The sequence below is a fragment of the Homo sapiens genome, chromosome 7 (assembly GCF_000001405.40).
Source record: "Homo sapiens chromosome 7, GRCh38.p14 Primary Assembly".
NCBI classification, from domain to species: Eukaryota; Metazoa; Chordata; class Mammalia; order Primates; family Hominidae; genus Homo; species Homo sapiens.
Window position 1 is genome coordinate 72,337,602 of NC_000007.14, and position 20,947 is coordinate 72,358,548.

Sequence of the window (20,947 nt, forward strand, 5' to 3'; positions counted from 1 at the left end):
CACTACTTCATCCCAGGTGCCCACACCCTAGATCCACGATTACACCTGAGCCCAGGGGGAAGGCGGGGCGCCGAAGTGGAGGGGCCAATGGCCGAAACTGCGGGGACCAGCATTCCGCGTGACCGCCCCTGGAGACGTCCAGGGAGGCACGGCTGCCGCAGGGCATCGCCCACCCACCAGCGATCCCACTCCTCCAGGGCCTGAGAACATGTGGTGTGGCCCCCACTTCTTCCAAGGTCATAGAATGGATCCGATGGGAAGGAGAGGGCGCTTGGGCAGAGGTGTGAGCTACAAATTCGCAGACTGTCTGCAACCTGCCCATGCGCTGACCTCTACTGAGTCTACGCCCAGACAGACCCCTGCCCCAGGTCTCAAGGGCAACGCATGTGCTTGGAGTCAGCAGTCACCTTTCCCAGTCCCCACCTGTCTGCCTCCCAAGAACTGACGGAATACACAGTGCAACCAAGGTTTGTCTTGGCAAGAAAAAGAAAGAAAGCAGCAAGGTGGGTCTCAGACTGTCCCGTAGACAGATTAGACGCTTGCCAGTTCCTTTCTGCTGCCCCCAAGGTTGTGCCAATAAAGAAAGAGCAACAAACCTGGCCAAAGCAGGCTAGTCCTTCCTTACAGCACCCTCCTCTCCCGGGTCCCCAGTTTCTTGTCCCCTCTTGGTGGCAAAGACTGCTCACCAGCTCAGATGTCTTCAATTCCCAGAACCAGAGAAAAGATACATGTGAAAAATTTCACACCAATCAGAACAAAAGCAGGCAATGCTGCTCTAAGCCTCTCATGCAAACAACTCAGCAATCACCTCTCCACTGTTTGGTTCAACTGCCAGGGAAGTTTGGGCGTTTTTGTCAGCCAGCAGCACAGTGTGTGTGTGTGTGTGTGTGTGTGTGTGTGTGTGTGTGTGTGTGTGTGTGTGTGTGTCTCACCTGGGTGTGGTTTCAGAGTCCCTGAGGCACTCATTGTGGGTGCCACGCCTTTAGCATTTAGCATTTCCTAACCTGTATTATTACTATCTTGTATAGACCCTACTTCCCTAGTAATCTTTTTTAAATATGTTTTTGTTATTTTTATAGGTACATGGTAGGTGTACATATTTATGGGGTACATGAGATGTTTTGTTACAGGCATGCAATGTGAAATAAGCTCATCATGGAGAACCGGGTAGCATTCCCTCAAACATTCATCCTTTGAGTTACAAACAGTCCAATTACACTCTAAGTTATTGTAAAATATGAGTTATTGACTATAGTCACTGTGTTGTGCTATCAAATAATAGGTCTTATTCATTCTAACTTGTTTTTTTTTTTTTAACCTATTAACCATCCCTACCTACCCAACCTCCTCACCCCCCACCCAGCCCCCCTCACCCTTCCCAACCTCTGGTAACCACTGGTAGATTCTCTATGTCCATGAGTTCAATTGTTTTGATTTTTAGATCCCATAAATAAGTGAAAACATGTGATGTTTGTCTTTCTGTGCCGGGTTTATTTTACTTAACATAATGATCTCCACTTCCATCCATGTAGTTACAAATCACTGGATCTCATTCTTTTTTATGGCTGAATAGTGCTCCATTGTGTACATGTCCCACATTTTCTTTATTCATTTGTTGATGGACACATGGGTTGCTTCCAAATCTTAACTATTATAAACAGTGCTGCAACAAACATCAGAATGCAGATACCTCTTCGATATACTAATTTCTTTTCTTTGGGGTATATACTCAGCAGTGGGATTGCTGGATCATATGCTCCCTAGCAATCTTATAACTGAGATGTAACAGGTACCACTCTTAAGGACTTGCTGAGTACCCCTCCCCTACCCCAGCATGAAAACACAGAAAAATCCTGAGTTCCTTCAAAGAAACTCCAGGTACCTAGCTAGCCCTGAGAAGTAAACCAGCAACTTGATAAGCAAGAAGGTAATTTTAGCTTAAAACAATAGCCAAGGAAGTTAAGAGTCAGGAAATGTTTTTGTTCCCTGTATCAGTCTGTTCTTATGCTGCTAATAAAGACATACCTAAGACTGGGTAATATACAAAGGAAAGAGGTTTAATGGACTCACAGTTCCACATGGCTGGGGAGGCCTCACAGTCATGGCAGAAGGTAAAGGAGAAGCAAAGGCACATCTTACATGGCAGCAAGCAAGAGAGCTTGTGCAGGGGGAACTCCCATTGATAAAACCATCAGATCTCGTGAGACTTATTCACTATCATGAGAGCAGTATGGGGGAGACCTGTGCCCATGATTCAATTTCCTCCCAACAGATCCCTCCCACAACACATGGGAATTATGGGAGCTACAAGTCAAGATGAGATTTGGGTGGGGACACAGTCAAACCATTCCCTATAGTCTATCATTCCCTATAGAATCTAAACATAACATCTTAGTGTCCTTCAGTTGTTTTTCAGAAACCTGGACCCCCATTAAACTGATCGACTAGCACATAGACCTTGGATGAGAGGGAACTGAGGACTAAACTCTAACTGTGGTTCTTGTTCTAAATTTCTTCCTGAAGGGTCTGGAGGAAGCCACACCTACAGGCCAGAGTGAACATTCTTTTCTGCAAACCCCGTATTTTTAGACAAAGCTTTACCTCCTTAACTAATCACAAATCAGAAAATCTTTGAACTCACTTATGACATTTGTAGAGATGGGATCTCCCTATGTTGCCCAGGCTGGTCTCAAACTCCTGGCCTCAAGTAATCCTCCCACCCCCACCTTCCAAAGTATTGGGATTACTAGTCCCAATGTGAGCCCATGTGGGCCTCTGCTCCCAGATGTCTGCTTTTTTAAGTCAAACCAAATGTAGAGCTTTCATGGATTGATTTATGGCTTTGCCTGTAGCCTCTGCCTCCCACCTTTAAAAATCCTTTCCTGTAAGCCAACTGGGTGGTTGGGACTTAAGCATGAGCTGCCTGATTCCTCTTGGTTGGTGCCCTGCAAATACATGCCTTCCCTTCTCCTGCTGCAAAACCTTGATGCGGATAGCTGGTCTTACTGCACTGGGTGAGCAGCCCAGTGACATGCTTGAGCCACTGGTTGAGTTTTATGTACCTAGTTCAGAGATGCGCATAGAAGGTGATATGGTTTGGCTGTGTCCCCTCCCAAATCACATACTGTATTCCCATAATTCCCACATGTTGTGGGAGGGACCTGGTGGGAGATAATTGAACCATGGGGGCGGTTTCTCCCATTCCATTTTCATGGTAGTGAGTAAGTCTCACAAGATCTGATGGTTTTATAAGGGGAAACCCCTTTCACTTGGCTCTCTCTCTCTCATCTGCTGCCATGTGAGATGTGTCTGTGCCTTTGGCCTTCCCCCGTGATTGTGAGGCCTCCCCAGCCATGTGGAACTATGAGTCCATTAAATCTTTCTTTTGTAAATTACCCAGTCTCAGCTATGTCTTTATCAGCAATGTGAAAACGAATTCATACAGAAGGTATTATATTTACAGGGGTTTCCACAATGGGTCGCAGGCAGATGAACAGAGTTGACAGGATCTCCATAAGATCTTTCCCTTTGATCCCTTAGTTTGGATGAATGCTGCATCATCTAACAATCTGTTGCCTCTGTAAGCAATTATTCTGACACTTTCTAGATGACAACCATGTCACCAAAGTGCCTTGGTAGGGCCAAGCACGGTGGCTGAAGCCTGTAATCCCAGCACTTTGGGAAGCCGAGGCGGGTGGATCACTTGAGGTCAGGGGTTCGACACCAGCCTGGCCAACATGGTGAAACCACGCCTCTACTAAAAATACAAAAATTAGCTAGGCATGGTGGTGGATGCCTGTAATCCCAGCTACTTTGGAGGCTGAGGCACAAGAATCGCTTGAACCTGGGAGGCAGAGGTTGCAGTGAGCCGAGATTGTGCTACTGCACTCCAGTCTGGGCAACAGAGCGAGACTCAGTCTCAAAAAACAAAAAAACAGACAAACAAACAAATGCCTTGGTAAGTGTAGAGATACACACATGAAGTTCCTGGTAAAATGTGGGGGCCTCCCACATAACCAGAGTGGGAAACATTTGGCCAAAGCTCTCATTCTGCCCTCCCTTCCTGCCTGCGTAAATTTGGGCAAGTTGTTTACTCTCTCTGAATCTCATTGCCCTCATCTATAAAATGGGGATAATCAGAGTGTCTATTCCATAAGGCTTTGAGAAAATTAAATGTGACTATGTGAAATAGCAGTTCACTCAGTTAACCTGGCTCCAGGCATAGAGTAAGCTTTCAATAAATGTTGGCTGTTGTTACAAGTGAATAGTCAACACAAACACAAATCAAAGACCTTACTTTGGGAGGAAAAAAAAAATCAAGGATCTCTTGCCTTAGGACACTAAGCTCAGCGAGCCTCAGAAGTAGAGAAGGCTAGGCAGTGGCTCACACTTGTAATACCGATACTTTGGAAGGTCTAGGTGGGAGGATTACTGGAGGTTGGGAATTTGAGACCAGCCAGCCTGGGCAACATAGGGAGACCCCATCTCTACAAAAAATGATTTGCAAAATTAGCCAGGTGTGGTAGCATGTGCCTGTAGTCCTAACTACTCAGGAGGCTAAGGCAGAGGATGGTTTGAGCCCAGGAGTTCGAGATTACAGTGAACTGTGGTCACACCACTGCACTCCAACTTGGGTGAAAGACCAAGACTTTGTCTCAAAAAAAAAAAAAAAAAATCAGAAACACAAAGAACTAGAGAAGCTGGATGGCAGACTTCTGCAGTTTCTTGGTCTTCCCCAGCTATGACCATTTTGAGACCTCCATATTAAGGTGGTTGCAGGTTTACAGGCCCTGGCACTTTTGCTCCAACTTTTATTCAATATATGTGGTCAAAATGTGTCAGCTCCTTCCTATGAAAATACCAAAGAAAATCTTTTACCAATTACCGGGATGGAGGCTAAACTCAACATGGAACAAAATGAACAGGAAGGACTTCTCCTTATCGTGCATTTGTAGCTGGATTTAGCATAAGTTCTCTCTCTAACCTAGAATAGTACAGCCCTCCAGGAAACAGTGAGGAGTCAATTTCAACTTCCTTCTACCACCTGCCTCTAGCTTTGGGATTCAGAGTTACACAAATCAGACACCAAGACAAGTGCTACCTTACCAGTGATAATCCTCCGGTAAATATCCCCTTCCCTTATCTTTTTTATTTTACCATCAGTAAATATATCTACTTCAAGTGCCCAAGACACCCAAGGGTAGAGGGTGATGAAAAGATTCATTGCACTCTGAATAGAAATAGGTAGAAGTAGAAAAAAAAAATCATTCAAAAAATACATGTTGGAAGGTAAAATTTTTCATGTCTTCCATCAAAGTATGGAATCCAGGATTCACTAAATTCTTTACAACACACATTCTCTCCTGTGTGGCTAGGGGTTTGCCACAAACTTTGCAGTGGTTTGCTTTGCAGTAATCGATAACCAGGACAAAATTTGGTATCTGGAAGGAGAGTGCTGCTGTAACAATAACTTAAAATACTGGCTTTGGGATTGAGCAATGGGAAAAAGCTATAACTGCCTCGAAAGACTATTAATGAGAGTTGCAAGGACCTTTGGAAAACTCTTGGAGGAAACATGAAGGGGCACAGGAAGGGCTTATTGGAAGCTGGAGAAAAGAACGCCTGAGTCACGTCCCAGCAGAACAGTTAGCAAAATTGCTGCCTGTCAATGGTCAGCTGGGTGCGGTGGCTCACGCCTGTAATCCCAGGCCGACGCGGGTGGATCACTTGAGGTCAGGACTTTGAGACTAGCCTGGTCAACATGGTGAAACTCTGTTTCTACTGTAAATACAAAAAATTAGCCAGGCATGGTGGCGCATGCCTGTAATCCCAGCTACTCGGAAGACTGAGGCAGGAGAATTGCCTGAACCCAGGAGGCAGAGGTTGCAATGAGCTGAGATCAGCCACTGCACTCCAGCATGGGTGACAGAGCGAGATTCTGTCTCAAAAAAAAAAAAAATCAATATAACCAATGGCAAGGATACCTAATGACCTCATGGATCTGACTAGGGTGATTTCCAAGTGGAAAAACAGAAAATGCCAGCTGGATTTTTCCAGATGCCTATGAGAAAAGGTAAGCAGAGACAGGTTAATTGAAGAAGAAGCTATTCCAGTTTTTTAGCAGAATTGAGATGGAATAGCAAGGAACCAGGGTTTGCTGAGTTAGAAAGGATTACTGTTTCTCTGCTGGGTTAGAAAGGACTACTGTTTCTCATTGTGGTGTCTCCAGGCGAAACCTTTCAAATCTAGGGCGGTAAAATCTGGTTTCTGGGAAAGATGGACTCAAGGATGGGGCTGTAATATCCTTTGTTAAGGCCTCAGACATATTTAAGGGGATGCCCAAAAGGGCTTCTACATGTCTTAAAGACACTGCCTCACTCAGCAGCTTTGCAGGAGACTAAAGATAAAGAAAGGTCTATTTTTTTTTATTTTTTAATTTCATTTATTTATGTATTTATTTAGAGACAGAGTCTCACTCTGTTATCCAGGCTTGAGTGCAGTGGCTTGATTTCAGAAAGGAAGAGAGAGACAGGGAGAAAAAGAGAGGTTCCGGGCCTGTCTGCAGCTACTCAAGCCCCTGCTGTGAGCGTCTTCCCAGAGAAGGCTACAGATTCTGTTGGAGAGAGACAAGCCACCCCCACCATGGGCTATCTGAATTCCCAATCCACAGAACCACAAGAGGCAGTCATAAATTTTTGTTTTAAGAAACTTCGTTTGGGGATGAATTTTTGTTATGCAGCAATAAATAACCAGAAAAATTAAATTTACTAAATTAGAAAAATGTCAAAAAATATGTTGTAAAGTGAAAAAAGTTAATGGCAAAATAACATGTATGGTGCCACTTTTGAAAAAGAAAACTTTGTATATGGGATCCGTGTACACATATGTGCACAGAATATAATTCCAATGCTTTCTGTTAACTAACTCTGGAGAACAAGTATTGAGGGGATAAATATATATATATATTTATTTATATATTCTATTTATATGTAAATATATATTTATGTATTTTATGTATATATAAATTTAAATATATATTTATATTTTTTTATTTATATAAATATATATTTTATTTATGTATATAATTATTTACATTTTTATTTATATATGCTTATTATATAAATGGCTTTTTATAAATGGAATATAAATGGCTTTTTGCTTTTTCGAAAAAATTTTCAAAACGTATATTAACCAGCCAAAAAAATGAAATCCAGGTTAAATATTATACATTAAAAAATATAAGTATATATAGCATATATTTATATAACACATAAATATATAAATAGCATATATTTATATCATATATAAATGTATATGTGAACATATATTTATTCATATATGAATTGTTTTATGTGGTATTTATATTTATATATAAATATTTATAAAAATAATGATATATAATACATTATATATGTACAATATAATGGCACATGTTATATATTATATCGTATGTACTGTTATATTCATGCATGTTATGTATAATTATACATGTTATATAATTATGTTATACGAAATTACATAATATATGTATTAGATACTATTATACAATGCCAAAAGAAAAGAACATCTTACAGATCTTAAGAGCATCACAGGCATAGAAGGAAAAGGAAACCTTGGAAAGTGGAGGCGTCATTGTGCTCCATTGTCCCCTTAAAGGCATTCATTCACCTGTGTTTGAAACTGCACATGGTGAATGGTTTAAAAAAAAAAATAGCAAGAGAAGGAAAGAAAGAAGAAAGTGGAAGGAAAGAAAGAGAAGGAAGGAAGGAAGGAGAAAGAAAAAAGGAAAAGGGAAGGAAGGAAAGAAAGAAGAGAAAGGAAAGAAAGGAAGGAGGGAAAGAGAGAAAGACAAAAAGACAAAAGAAAGAGAGGGAAGGGAAGGGAAGGGAGAGAGGGAGAGAGGAAGGGAGGGAGGAAGGAAATGAGGAAGGGAGGGAAGGAGGAAGGAAAGAAGAAAGGGAGGGAGGGAGGGAAGGGAAGGAAAGGAAGAAAAAGCAAGGGAGGAAGGAACCAAGCAGCAGGAAGGAGAATTCTTGGGAAATTGGAGTCTATAACCTCCCTAGGAGGAGGGGCACTGATAAACACCCCAGGGTTTCAGTTGAACCTTTTGAAATACTACATGCATTAAGATTAAGGGCAAACCAAAAGCCTTTGGAGAATCAAGTTCGGCCTTAAATTATCTCAATAATTGATTAGCCAAAAATGATCTTTACGTACCCTAAACGCCTGCCGCATGAAAAGTTAAATCTCTCTGAGAGAGAACAAATGTATAGCCACTATAATTTTTTAAATATAACGTGGCATTTAAGCAAAAATCAACAGGCATGTCCGGAAAAAGAACCGAATTAAGAAAAAATAAAGAGAAACAGCAGACAATAGGAAAATCAAACATAGGAAATTCAGATACTGGATTTATATAAAACAGACATTAAAACAATTGTATAGATGTTTAAGAAAATGAATGACAAGATAAATTCACCGGTGAATAGCTAAAGTCTATTTATTCTTAATTTCTTTCTAATTCAATAATTTAACTTTTACTTTTTATTAAAGTGATCCATAATTTTTAAAGGTCAAATGGTAATTTGTTATGCAGAAATAGAATTTAAAAATAAACATCAAACAGTTCCAAAAGGTCAATTGCGCAAAATGGTGTTCTCTCTTTCCTCCTCCTCCATTCCTTTTTCCCAAAGATAACCACTTTCAACTAGTCAGTTACCTCTTTGGATAATTATATCCATATTTCTAAGTAAGTGATTTTTAAAAAAATATTTATTTTCTTTTCTGATTAAAACACCTAACTGAAGGATGAAGATGTAATACTCTTACTTGTTTCTCCAATCCACACACATACATTCTGTCCTGATTCTCCCATATATAATTTTTAATTTGATCTCCATTCAGTTAAAATTTATTTATTATTTATTTATTTGAAACGAAATTTCACTCTGTCACCCAGGCTGGAGTCCAGTGGCACGATCTCGGCTCACTGCAACCTCCACCTCCCAGGTTCAAGCGATTCTCCTGCCTCAGCCTCCCGAGTAGTTGGGGTTACAGGTGCCCACCACCAAGCCCAGCTAATTTTGTGTATTTTTAGTAGAGACGGGGCTTCACATGTTGGACAGGCTGGTCTCGAACTCCTGACCTCAAGTGATCCACCCGCCTTGGCCTCCCAAAGTGTGGGATTACAGGTGTGAGCTGCAGCGCCCGGCCAAAATTTGTTTATTTTTAACACAGAATAAAGTAGCAATTCTGGAACCCATCAAAAAATAAAGAAAATGCACTCAATAGATGTGGTTAAAGCAAATTGGACACAGTAGAAGAGATTAGCGAACTTTAAAGAGGTCAGTAAAAAATATCCTGCTAATGTGTGAGAAGGAAAAGTGGGAATAGAGAAAAGAGAGTAAGAGAGGATTAGAGCACAGCGAATTGTCAAACATGTAACTGAAGTTTGAAAAGGAAAGGGGAGAAAGAATGGGGTGGATGCAATGCTGGCTGAGAATTTTCCAAAACCAATAAAGACATTAAGCCACAGATTCAGGAAGTCCTATAAACTCCGAATAGGATACGTGCAATGAAATCCACATGAAAGCAATCATCATTACATTTCTAAAACCCAAAGACAATTTTTTTTCTTTTTTTTTTTCCTTTTTTCTTTTTTTTGAGACGGAGTTCCCCTCTTTTTGCCCAGGCTGGAGTGCAATGCCGTGATCTCAGCTCACTGCAGCGATCTCAGCTCACTGCAGCCTCTGCCTCCCGGGTTCAAGCGATTCTCCTGCCTCAGCCTCCTGAGTAGCTGGGATTACAGGCATGTGCCATCATGCCTGGCTAATTTTGTATTTTTAGTAGAGACGGGGTTTCTCTATGTCGGTCAGGCTGGTCTCCAACTCCCGACCTCAGGTGATGCGCCAGCCTCGGCCTCCCAAAGTGCTGGGGTTACAGGGGTGAGCCACCAAGCCCGGCCAAGACAAAATAATAAAAGCAGCCAGGCCCCCTCTCCTTCACACACACATACACCTTTCAAAGAACAATTTGCCGGACAGACAACTTGTTAACAAACGTAATAAAAGCTAGTACAACTTACAATCATTGGTATCATCTTTGGTGCACTAAAAGAAAATAGCTATCCACTAAATTCTGAATGCAGTGAACATGCCCACTAAAAAGAAAACGGACCAATTTTTGCTTCTATGTTACTAGGTTGGTGCAAAAGTAATTGCAGTTTTTGCCATTGAAAGTAATGGCAGTAGGGCGAGGTGGCTCATGCTTATAATCCCAGCACTTTGGGAGGCTGAGGAGGGTGGATCACTTGAGAGGTCAGGAGTTTGAGACCAGCCTGGCCAACATGCTGAGACCCTGTCTCTACTAAAAATGCAAAAATTATCCAGGCATGGTAGCAGGTGCCCATAATCCCAGCTACTTGGGAGGCTGAGGCAAGAAAATTGCTTGAACCTAGGAAGCGAAGGTTGCAGTGAGCTGAGATCACTCCAGCCTGGACAACAGAGCGAGATTCTGTCTCAAAGAAAAAAAAGAAACTAACGGCAAAAACCTCAATTATGTTTGCATCAACATAGTAAGTTAGTTTCCTTCCCACTATTAACAATTAGAAACTAAACAAATGTACAAATTAAGTGTTTTCTGTAATTGGACAGCAGATAGTACAGGGCTGTGATCCACGTGAGAAGAGGTACAAATTACGTGTGTCCTGCAACTGCCCAGCTTTCTACCTGGAGATCGTTTCTGTATCGCTGCAGAGGAAAAGGAAGCCAAACAGAACACAGGGGTCTCACTAAATTGAGGGATCAGAGTTCATGAAGGCTTAGGTAGCTAGATTTTGTGGGGCAGAGAACTGGAGAGGAGAAGGCAACACAGATAGAAAGGTGGAAATTTTTTATAACGATTTAAGTTCCTAGTTGACAACTAAGATGTGCATAAAGAGACAAATCCCATGCCGCTAGGCAGAGAACAGTTAGTGGAGAGTTGTTAAGTCGAACAATTTCTAGACGTAAGAAAGAACTGGAAAATAGGCAAGTTCTGATGATCCTGAGTGAGAAAACTCATTGAACACCCGGCGGGTACAATACAGCCCATATGGATTGCCCCTTCCTGGTAGCAGGAATAAACTAGCTCTAGAATAACAGCTATTTAAGACTTGACCTAACAAAGCTTAAGAGCAAACATCAAATGGATCAAGGTGATTCCCAAGTTACTAATCCAATGCCTAGCAAAGAAACTTCAAAACTCTTCAAAGGACAAAAGCAAAATTCAGAAACTCAACAACATAACACCCACAGTGTCCATGGAAACAGAAGGAAAAATAACAATGGCAATGGAATCTGCAGAAAGGGGCTTTCGAGCAGCTATTAGGATGTTCAAGGATTTAAAGGAAATTGTGAACAATAAAGGAAGGCATGCAAACTAAAAAAAGAAGCAAATAAAATTGTAGTGCTGAAAAATGTATACTTAATGTGAAAAAGCTATTTGAGGGCTTAACATAACATTAGGTATTGTAGAAAAATAAGTGAGTTTGAAAAAATAGAAACTGAAGCAGAGAAAGAATGCTGGCTAAAAAAATCTTAAAATCTTTGATGGCAGGTGGGACAATATCAAGCTACCTAACATATGTTCGATTTTAATACCTAAAGCGAGAGAAAAAGAGAGAGACTGTAAACACGCGTGCTTGTGTGTGTGTGTGTGTGTGTGTGTGTGTGTGTGTGTGTGTTGGGAAGGTTAAACAGAAAAAAGTATTTGAATAAATAGTGGCTAATATTTCCCAATTTGATAAAAGCCTAAATATACAGCTCCACATGACAGAATTTACTGCAAGAAAGATAAATACAAAAAATGCACACCAAGGTACCTTATAATCAAATTGCTGAAAACCAATGATAGAGAAAAATCTTAAAGTATCCAGAAGAAAAAAAACATTATAGCAGGAGAACAAAGAGAAGATGTAATACTAACTTCTTTTAAGGAACAATACAAGCCAAAAGACAATGGAACATTTTTAATGTGCTGAAATTGAAAACAAAAACAAAAATACTGAGAATTGTCATGACGGTTTTGACTTGCATGTCTCTAACAATTAGTGATGCTGAGCTTATTTTCAAATGCTTATTGGTCATGTATATGTCTTCTTTTGAAAACTGCCTGTTTGTGTCCTTTGCCCACTTTGTTATGGGGTTGTCTGCTTTTTGCTTGTTAATTTAAGCACCTTATAGATTCTGGATATTAGCCCTTTGATAGATGCGTATTTTACAAATATTTTCTCCCAATTCTGTTGGTTGTCTGTTTACTTTGTTAGTTTCTCTTCCTTTGCAGATGCTCTTTAGTTGAATTAGGTCCCATTTGTCAATATTTGTTTTTGTTATTGCTTTTGGCATCTTTGTCATTAAATCTTTGTCAGGATCTACGTCCAGAATGGTATCTTCTAGGTTTCCTTCAAGGGTTTTTATAGGCCCATAAACCCTTTAGGTTTTATGTTTAAGCCTTCAATCCAGCTAGAATTGATTTTTGCATATGTTAAAAGGAAGGGGTCCAGTTTCAATCTACTGCTTTGGCTAGCCAGTTATGCCAGTAATATTTATTGAAAAGGGACTCCTTCAACTGTGGAAAGCAGTTTGGAGATTACTCAAAGAACTCAGAACAGAACAAGCACTTCACCCAGCAATCCACTGGGTATATACCCAAAGGAATATGAATCGTTCTACCATAAAGTCCTTTGCATACATGTGTTCATCACAGCACTATTCACAATAGTAAAGATATGGAATGAACCTAAGTACCCAGCAATGCTAGACTGGATAAAGAAAACGTGGCACATACACACCATGGAATACTACTCAGCCATAAAAAAGAATGAGATCATGTCTTTTGCACAACAGGGATAGAGCTGGAGGCCATTATCCTAAGCAATTTAATGCAGAACAGAAAACCAAATACTGCATGTTTTCACTTATAAGTGGGAGCTAAACATTGAGTACATATGGACACGAGGAAGAGAACAACAGACACCAGGGCCTATTTGAGGGTGGAGCAGGAGGAAGTTGAGGATCAGAAAACTACCTACCAGATACTATGCTTATTACCTGGGTAATGAAATAATCTGTACACTAAATCCTTGCAAGACTCAATTTACCTATATAACAAACTTGCACATGTACCCCTGAAACAAAAGTAAAAGTTAAAAAAAAATAAATAAAAAAAATACTGAGAATTTCCTAATCAGCAAAAATATCCTCTGAATTTAAAGGTGATGGCTGGGTGAGGTGGCTCACGCCTGTAATCCCAGCACTTTGGGAGGCCAAGGTGGGTGGATCACCTGAGGTCAGGAGTTCAAGACCAGCCTGACCAACATGGTGAAACCCCATCTCTACTAAAAACACAAAAATGAGCTGGGCGTGGTGGCAGGCACCTATAAACCCAGCTACTCGGGAGGCTGAAGCAGGAGAATCACTGGAACCCGGGAGGTGGAGGTTGCAGTGAGCCAAGATCACGCCATTGCACTGGGTGACAAAGTGAGACTGTCTCAAAAAAATAAACAAATAAATAAATTTTTTAATTTTAAAAAATAAAGGTGAAATAAAGAGTTTTTCAGATAAACAGTAAAATAATTTATAGGCCAGGAACAGTGGTTCATGCCTGTAATCCTAGCCCTTTGGGAGGCTGAGGCAGGAGGATCACTTGAGCCCAGGAGTTCAAGACCAGCCTTGGCAACCTAGCAAGACCCTGTCTCTATTCGAGAATTTATAGCCATCAGGCTGAAGTAAATGACAACAGAAACTTAGGAATGATAAGTCCTGGGAATGGAAAATATGTGAATAAAAATAAAAAGTTTGTCATTATTTTTAACTTTCTTTAAAAGGTAGTTTACTGTTTAAGACAAAAATATTACCCAATGCATTTATGGGATTTATAAGACATGTATAAGTAAAACATGTACGACAGCTACAGCACAAAGGGAGTAAGGAAATGGAAATATACTATTAAAAGATAGTCAATTTATCCATGAAGTGGTATAGTATCATTTGATATCACACTGTTATATTTGAAGGTGCACATTGTTAAACCCCAGAACACAAAGAGATACAGCAAATAAGCCAATAGAGAATAAATACAATATTTGAAAAATAATCAATACCAGAAAAGTCATGAAAAGGGAAAAACGAACAAAGAACAGATGAAACAAAAAAGAAATAGCAAGATGGTACATTTACACCTAAATATATTGTGAATTGCATTTAATTTAAAGAGTGTGAACCACTACCAAATTTGGCCATATTAAATTTATAGAGCACTATATTAACATAATCTTTTCAAGTGCCTTTTGAATGTTCATAAAAGATAGACTCTGTATCTTGTGCCACAAAATAATTCTCAGTACTTTGGTATTTTAAGCCAGGTGTGGTGGCTCATGCCTGTAATCCCAGCACTTTGGGAAGCCAAGGCAGGCAGATCACTTGAGGTCAGGCAGGAGAATCATTTGAACCCAGGAGGTGGAGGTTGCAGTGAGCTGGGATTGCACCACTGCACTCCAGCCTGGGTGACACAGCGAGACTCCGTCTCAAAACAAACAAACAAACAAAAAAAACCACTTTGAGATTTTAAAGTTATCCCAACTCTACTAAAAGTACCAAAATTAGCCAGGCGTGGTGGCACATGCCTGTAGTCCCAGCTACTTGTGAGGCTGAGGCAGGAGAATCGCTTGAACCTGGGAGGCAGAGGTTGCAGTGAGACACTATTGTGCCATTGCACTCCAGCCTGGGTGACAGAGTGAGACTCTGTCTCAAAAAAAAAAAAAAAAAAAACTTTGAGATTTTAAAGTTATCAAAATCATACAGAAAACATTCTATAACCATAACGGAATTAAATTAGAAATCAGTAATAAGAAGACACCTTAAAAATTCCCCAAGATTTTACAAGTAAAAAACAGTTTTGCATAATGCGTATGTCAAAGAATAATCACAAAGGAAGTTTAAAAATATTTTGAACTAAATGAAATGAAAGCACAAGGTATTGAAATTGGTGAGATCAGCTAAAACAGTGCTTACAAGGAAAATTATAGCTTAAAATGTTTACTTTACAAAAAGATGAAAGGTTTAAAGCCAATGTTTTAAGATTCTAACTTAAAAAGCTAAAAAGAGAAGAACAAATTAAGTTGAAAGAAAATAGAAGAAAGGAAAAAGGATGGGGAAATCAAATTTAAAAATGGACAGAAAAATGAAATAAAACATCATAAAATTAATAAACCTGTAGCTAACTAGATTTGAAAATATGGCAAAAACACCAAGTACCAAGATCAGGAATCAGTATAGATCCTAACGATATAAAAAAGAATAACAAGGGAATATTATAAAGCAATGTTATGACAAAAAATGGACAATTTAAACAAAAGAGAAAAATTCTTTTAAGAAACACAAATTACCAAAATAGACCCATGGAGATATAAAAAATCTGAATATTCCTATATCTTTTAAAGAAACTGAATTCATAATTAACCTCCTATGCCCTCAAAACATAAACAAATTCCTCTGTGCCCAGATGGTTTCTCTGGTGAATTCTAACATTTAATGAAGCGCTAATACCAATCTCATAAAATGCTTTCATAAAATAGAGAGCGGGAACACAGCTCAACTCATTTTATGAGGCTACTGTCTCTCTGTTATCAAAATCAAATACAGGCAATACCAAAACAGAAAATGAAAATAAATGCAAAAAAAGCCTTAACATATATTAGCAAGCCAAATCCAGCAATATATAAAAAGGATAAGACATCTTGACAAGGTGGAGTTTTTTTAAGTCATACAAAATTAGTCTAAATCTTAAATTCTAAAAGATGAATCAATTTAATTTATCCTATTTATAGAAGAAAAAATTACAATCATCCTAATGCATTCATGAAGAGTGTTTGGCAAAATTCAACACCTATTCTCCATGAAAACTTAGAAAGTTTGGAATAAAAGGGAACTTTTTCATCCTGCTAAGGGGTACTACAAAAAAACCTACAGCTAACATCACACAAAATGGTTAAAAACTGAATGCTTTCCCTGTAAAATCAGGAAAAGGGCTTCTATTGAACATTTGTTGGAGGCTCCAGCCAGTGAAATAAGTCAATAAAAAGACAGAAAATGCATCCCGATTGGTAAGTAAGAAGTAAAATTGTTTTTATTGAAAAGCAACATGATTGTGTAAATTAAAAAATAAGGGTATTTGAATGAAAGTGACCTTAACAAGGTCACAGAATACAAGGTCAATGCCAACAATAAACAACTGAAAAATGAAATTTTAAAAATAGCTCCATTCAGGCCGGGCGTAGTGGCTCACACCTGTAATCCCAGCACTTTGGGAGGCCAAAGTGGGTGGATCACCTGAAGTCAGAAGTTCGAGACCAGCCTGGCCAACATGGTGAAATCCCATCTCTACTAAAAATACAAAAATTAGCCAGGCGTGGTGGTGGGCCCCTCTAATCCCAGCTACTCGGGAGGCTGAGGCAAGAGAATCACTTGAACCCAAGAGGGGGAGGTTGCAGTGAAACGAAATTGTGCCACTGCACTCCAGCCTGGGTGACAGAGCAAGACTCCATCTCAAGAAAAAGTCCCATTCACAATAATATCAAAACCATGAAATATTATGGATAAGCTTAACAAAATAAGTGTAAGTTCTGTATACTAAAAACCTCAAAACATTGCTGAGAGAGATTAAAGAAGACCAAAAATAAATGGAGACCTATACCATGTTAATGGATTAGAGGTTTGATAATTTTAAGATGTCAATTCTCTCCAAATTGATCTACAGGTTCAGCATCATCAATATCCTAATAAGCTGTTTTGCAAAATTTGACAAGCTGGTTTAAAAATTTATATATGTATGCAAAGGACATAGAATAGCCAAAACCATTTTTTCAGAGAAGTTGGAAAGACTTTCTTTCCAACTGATTTCAAGACTTAACTATAAAGCTAATCAAGAGAGTGTGGTTTTGGCACAAGGATAGATGTATAGAGCAAAGGAACAGAAATGATTAGGAATAGACTCACTTGCGTGTGACCAATTAGTTTTTCACAAAGGTGCCAAATTAATTCAAATTAATTAATTTAATGAGGATAGTCTTTTCATCCAGTTCTGCTGGAATAACTGGATATTCATGTGGAAATAAATGAACTTTGATACTTTATTTACCCTATAGGCAAAGATTAACTCCGAATGGATCGTAGACCTAAAAGATAAAGCCGCAAAACTTTTAAAGAAAACCCAGGAGAAAATTTTTGAGAACTTGAGTAAGCAAAAATTTCTTTTTTTTTTTCTTTTCTTTTTTTTTTTAATTTCCCTTGAGACAGGGTCTCGCTTTGTCGCCAAAGCTGGAGTGCAGTGGCACAATCACAGCTCACTGCATCCTCCACCTCCCGGGCTCAAGCCATCCTCTCAACTCAGCCCCGGAATAGCTGGGACTACAGGCTTGCGCCACCATGCCCGGCTAATTTTTGTATTTTTTATAGAGACAGACTCTCAGCATTTGCCCAGGCTGGTCTCAAACTCCCATGCTCAAGTGATCCGCCCACCTCGGTCTCCCAAAGTGCTGCGATTACAGGCGTGAGCCAACGTGCTCAGCCAAAAACTGCTTAACGAGGATACAAAAGGCACAAATTGGCCGGCCGCTGTGGCTAACACCTATAATCTCAGCACTTGGGGAGGCCAAAGCGGGCGGACCACTTGAGGCCAGGAGTTCAAGACCAGCCTGGCCAACATGGTGAAAACCCATCTCTACTAAAAATACAAAAATTAGCTAGGCGTGGTGGCGCACGCCTGTAATCCCAGCTACTCAGGAGGCTGAGACAGGAGAATTGCTTGAACCCAGGAGACAGAGGTGGCAGTGAGCCGGGATTACACCACTGCACTCCAGCCTGGGCAACAGAGTGAGACTGTCTCAAAAACAAAATGGAACAAAAACAAAACAAAACAACAGAAAGCCCAAGTCATAAAAGAAAAATTTGATCATTTTGATTTCATCAAATTTTAAATCTTATGCTTCTGAAAAATTCATTTTTGGTAAAATGAATAGACAAGTCACAGGCAGGCAAAAATTATTCATAATACATATCCATTATTTCATTCTTATGAAATTCTAGAACAGAAAAAAACAATCTGTAGTGACAGAAATTAAATGGGTGGATTCCTGGGGCTGAGTGGTTGACTCCATCAGAGTACAAGGGCACAGTTTAGGTTGAAGGAAATGTTTATGTCTTAATTATGGTGATGGTTACAAAGGTTTATACATTTTGTCAAACTCATCAAAGTGTACATTTTAAATGGGTGCATTTTATTATATGTAAATTATCCTCAATAAAGTTGATTTGAAAAGAAAGAAGAAAATGAAGCCTTAAAAAAAATTATGGTTGTACAAAAGGAAGATAAATGTTTGAGGTGACTGATTTGCTAGTTACTCTGATTTGATCATTACACATTGTATACATGTATCAAAATATTACACTGTATCCCATAGATATGCACAATTATTCTGTGTTCATTTAAAATGATAATTTAAAAGTTAAAGATTGTGGTTAAAATTTTGTAAAAGGAAAGAATTGCTATAGTGAGCTATTCAGACAGAAAAAGATATGGTTTCAAATGGAGGAACAGAGATGAAAGGGTAAGGAGCACTGGAAATACCAAATATGTAGGTAAATCTGAATAACTATTGTATTTTAATCTAATAATAATAAATGCTAATAATGTTTGGTAGTTTCTTAAATCCACGAAGAAGTAAAATACATGAAAACAATTGCACAAAATGTAGGAATGGGGTAAACAGAGTTAAAGTGTTCTAAGGTCCTTGCAACTTTAGATACAACTTGTATTAAAGTGATAAATGTACTAATTTAGGATATATACCAGTGGGTCAAGGATACACACTGCGGTCTCTAGGGATATCACTAAAATAATAATAAAAGAATGTAAAACTAACAAGGACGACTAAAATTGTATAATAAGTGCCAATCTCCCTGAAAGATGGAACATTTCAAAAATTGGATACACCTAATAATATAGGCTCAAAATATATAAAGCAAAACCTACAAAATTAAAAGCAATTATTATTGTGTATTATTAGCTCAATCTGATTGACATAGTAAATAATCAAAGAACTAGAAGAACGCAAATTACAACATAAGAGAAGAAAATCAAAATATATTAGCTAAAAACTGTAAATTAGGAAAATGAGTATATTATTTAGTCTGGGCATGTTGAAACGGATCTGATTAAACATAGCTGCTTCAGGGCAGTGAGAAAGCTTAGAGCAATATATTAGTGCTTGTCAACGTATGTCTTGCTCTAAAACCAACACTTCTAAGCTTTGGTTTTGCTTTGGTTTTGTTTTGTTTTGTTTTTAATTCAGGGCAAGAAGTGGAGACTTCCAGGAAACATGACGGTGTTAACTGGACATTTTTTAAAACCTCCTCCCTGAAACCTACAAAAACCAACAAAGGAACTAATGATTAAAATGAAAACCAAACTGAAACTTAGAGACAGCCTTAACCTTTCCCTATGAATGCCAAGGAATACTTGCCAGATAGAATACAACTTGAACCAAAATGAAATATGATGCTGGAGTTTGGCCACAATTCCTGTGCTTCGGAACCAACGCAGTGCTGTGGGCCCAAGAGCCTTGCTAACACAAACCCCCCGACCCCAAGCTGAGATCTGGCGATGTGGTTGGACTCGGAATGAGAAAGGTTCCTCCTGCACCACAGATCAGCTCCAGCGGAGAGGCCTCGTGGGACCAGGTACTGCCAATGTTAATGAGTCCCAGCTTTTTTATGGTGAAACAAAGGGATTCGATTGGAAATAAAGCAAATTTCTTATCAAAGAAGAAAATTAAAGGTAGAGAAAAGTGTGTGCTGATACCACCCCCAACCCATCCCTAATCAAATCTCAGGGCTGCCTTGATCTTACCATGAGCATCATGAATGAGGTTTTTGAATGCTTTTAAATACACAAATGAGACTCACGTCAAATCAACGGAATCAGAATCTACAAAAGCGAGGCCCAGACAACAGTAGTTGAAAAAACTCCCCATTATGAGATAACATGTTTAGCCTAATCAATAGGCAAAATTTAAAAGTATTTATAACAACCCAATGTTGGCAGAGGTAAAAAGAAATAAACATGTTTATAGGAATTCTGAAGAAAATGGTCATGGGGTAAGAAACTTTTATTTTATATATTTATATATATTTTTATATATTTATATATATTTATATTTATATATATGTGTGTTTTTTTTTAGATGGAGTCCCCAGCTCCCAGGCTCAAGGGATTCTCTTGCATCAGCCTCCTGAGTAGCTAGGATTACTGGCACACACCACCATGCCTGGCTAATTTTTTTGTATTTTTAGTAGAGATGGGGTTTTGTATTTAAGAGGCAGAATCTCACTGTCTCCCAGGCAGGAGTGCAATGATGCAATCATAACTCACTGCAGCCTCAAACTCCTGAGCTCAAGTGATCCTCCCACCTCAGCATCCCAAAGTGCCGGGGTTATAGGTGTGCACCACCATGCCTAACTAATTTTTTAATCTTTTTCTGGAGACAGTGTCTCACTATGTTGCCCAGGCACTGGTCTCAAATGCCTGGCCTCACGTGACCCTTGAGCCTTGGCCTCCCAAAGTGCTAGGATTATAGGTGTGAGCCACTACCACGCCTAGCCTTGGATCACAAATTTTCACGTGGAGTGATATCCACTAGTGTAACACTCTGGATCTCTATATTTCCTCGCTCACTTCTCTGATTAGTAAATGGAGAAAGGAAAAGGACTGTTAGATACAATCCTCTTGTTCTCTCTCCTCAGCTCTCCCTTCCCGCAGAGAGCACTGACTTTGACATTGTACTTAGCCATCACTCCCTGTGGCTGGCCAAGTGGTACATGTCCTAATTCTGGGTGCAACATACCAGAACTGG

General features: G+C 39.3%; 1 protein-coding gene across 10 annotated transcripts in view; it reads right to left on the reverse strand.

The window, feature by feature from the left end:
- CALN1 (calneuron 1) overlaps window positions 1-20,947 on the reverse strand; it is a 724,789-nt gene that overhangs the window by 558,111 nt on the left and 145,731 nt on the right. For 2 of the 10 annotated variants that reach the window (XM_017012682.2, XM_011516596.3), the window contains exon 1: window positions 597-826. The exons of the other annotated variants lie outside the window; for them this stretch is intronic. The gene's annotated coding sequence lies outside the window, so the exon portion shown is untranslated. Of the gene's footprint in view, window positions 1-596; window positions 827-20,947 lie in introns of those variants that run through there. 10 annotated transcript variants of the gene reach the window in all.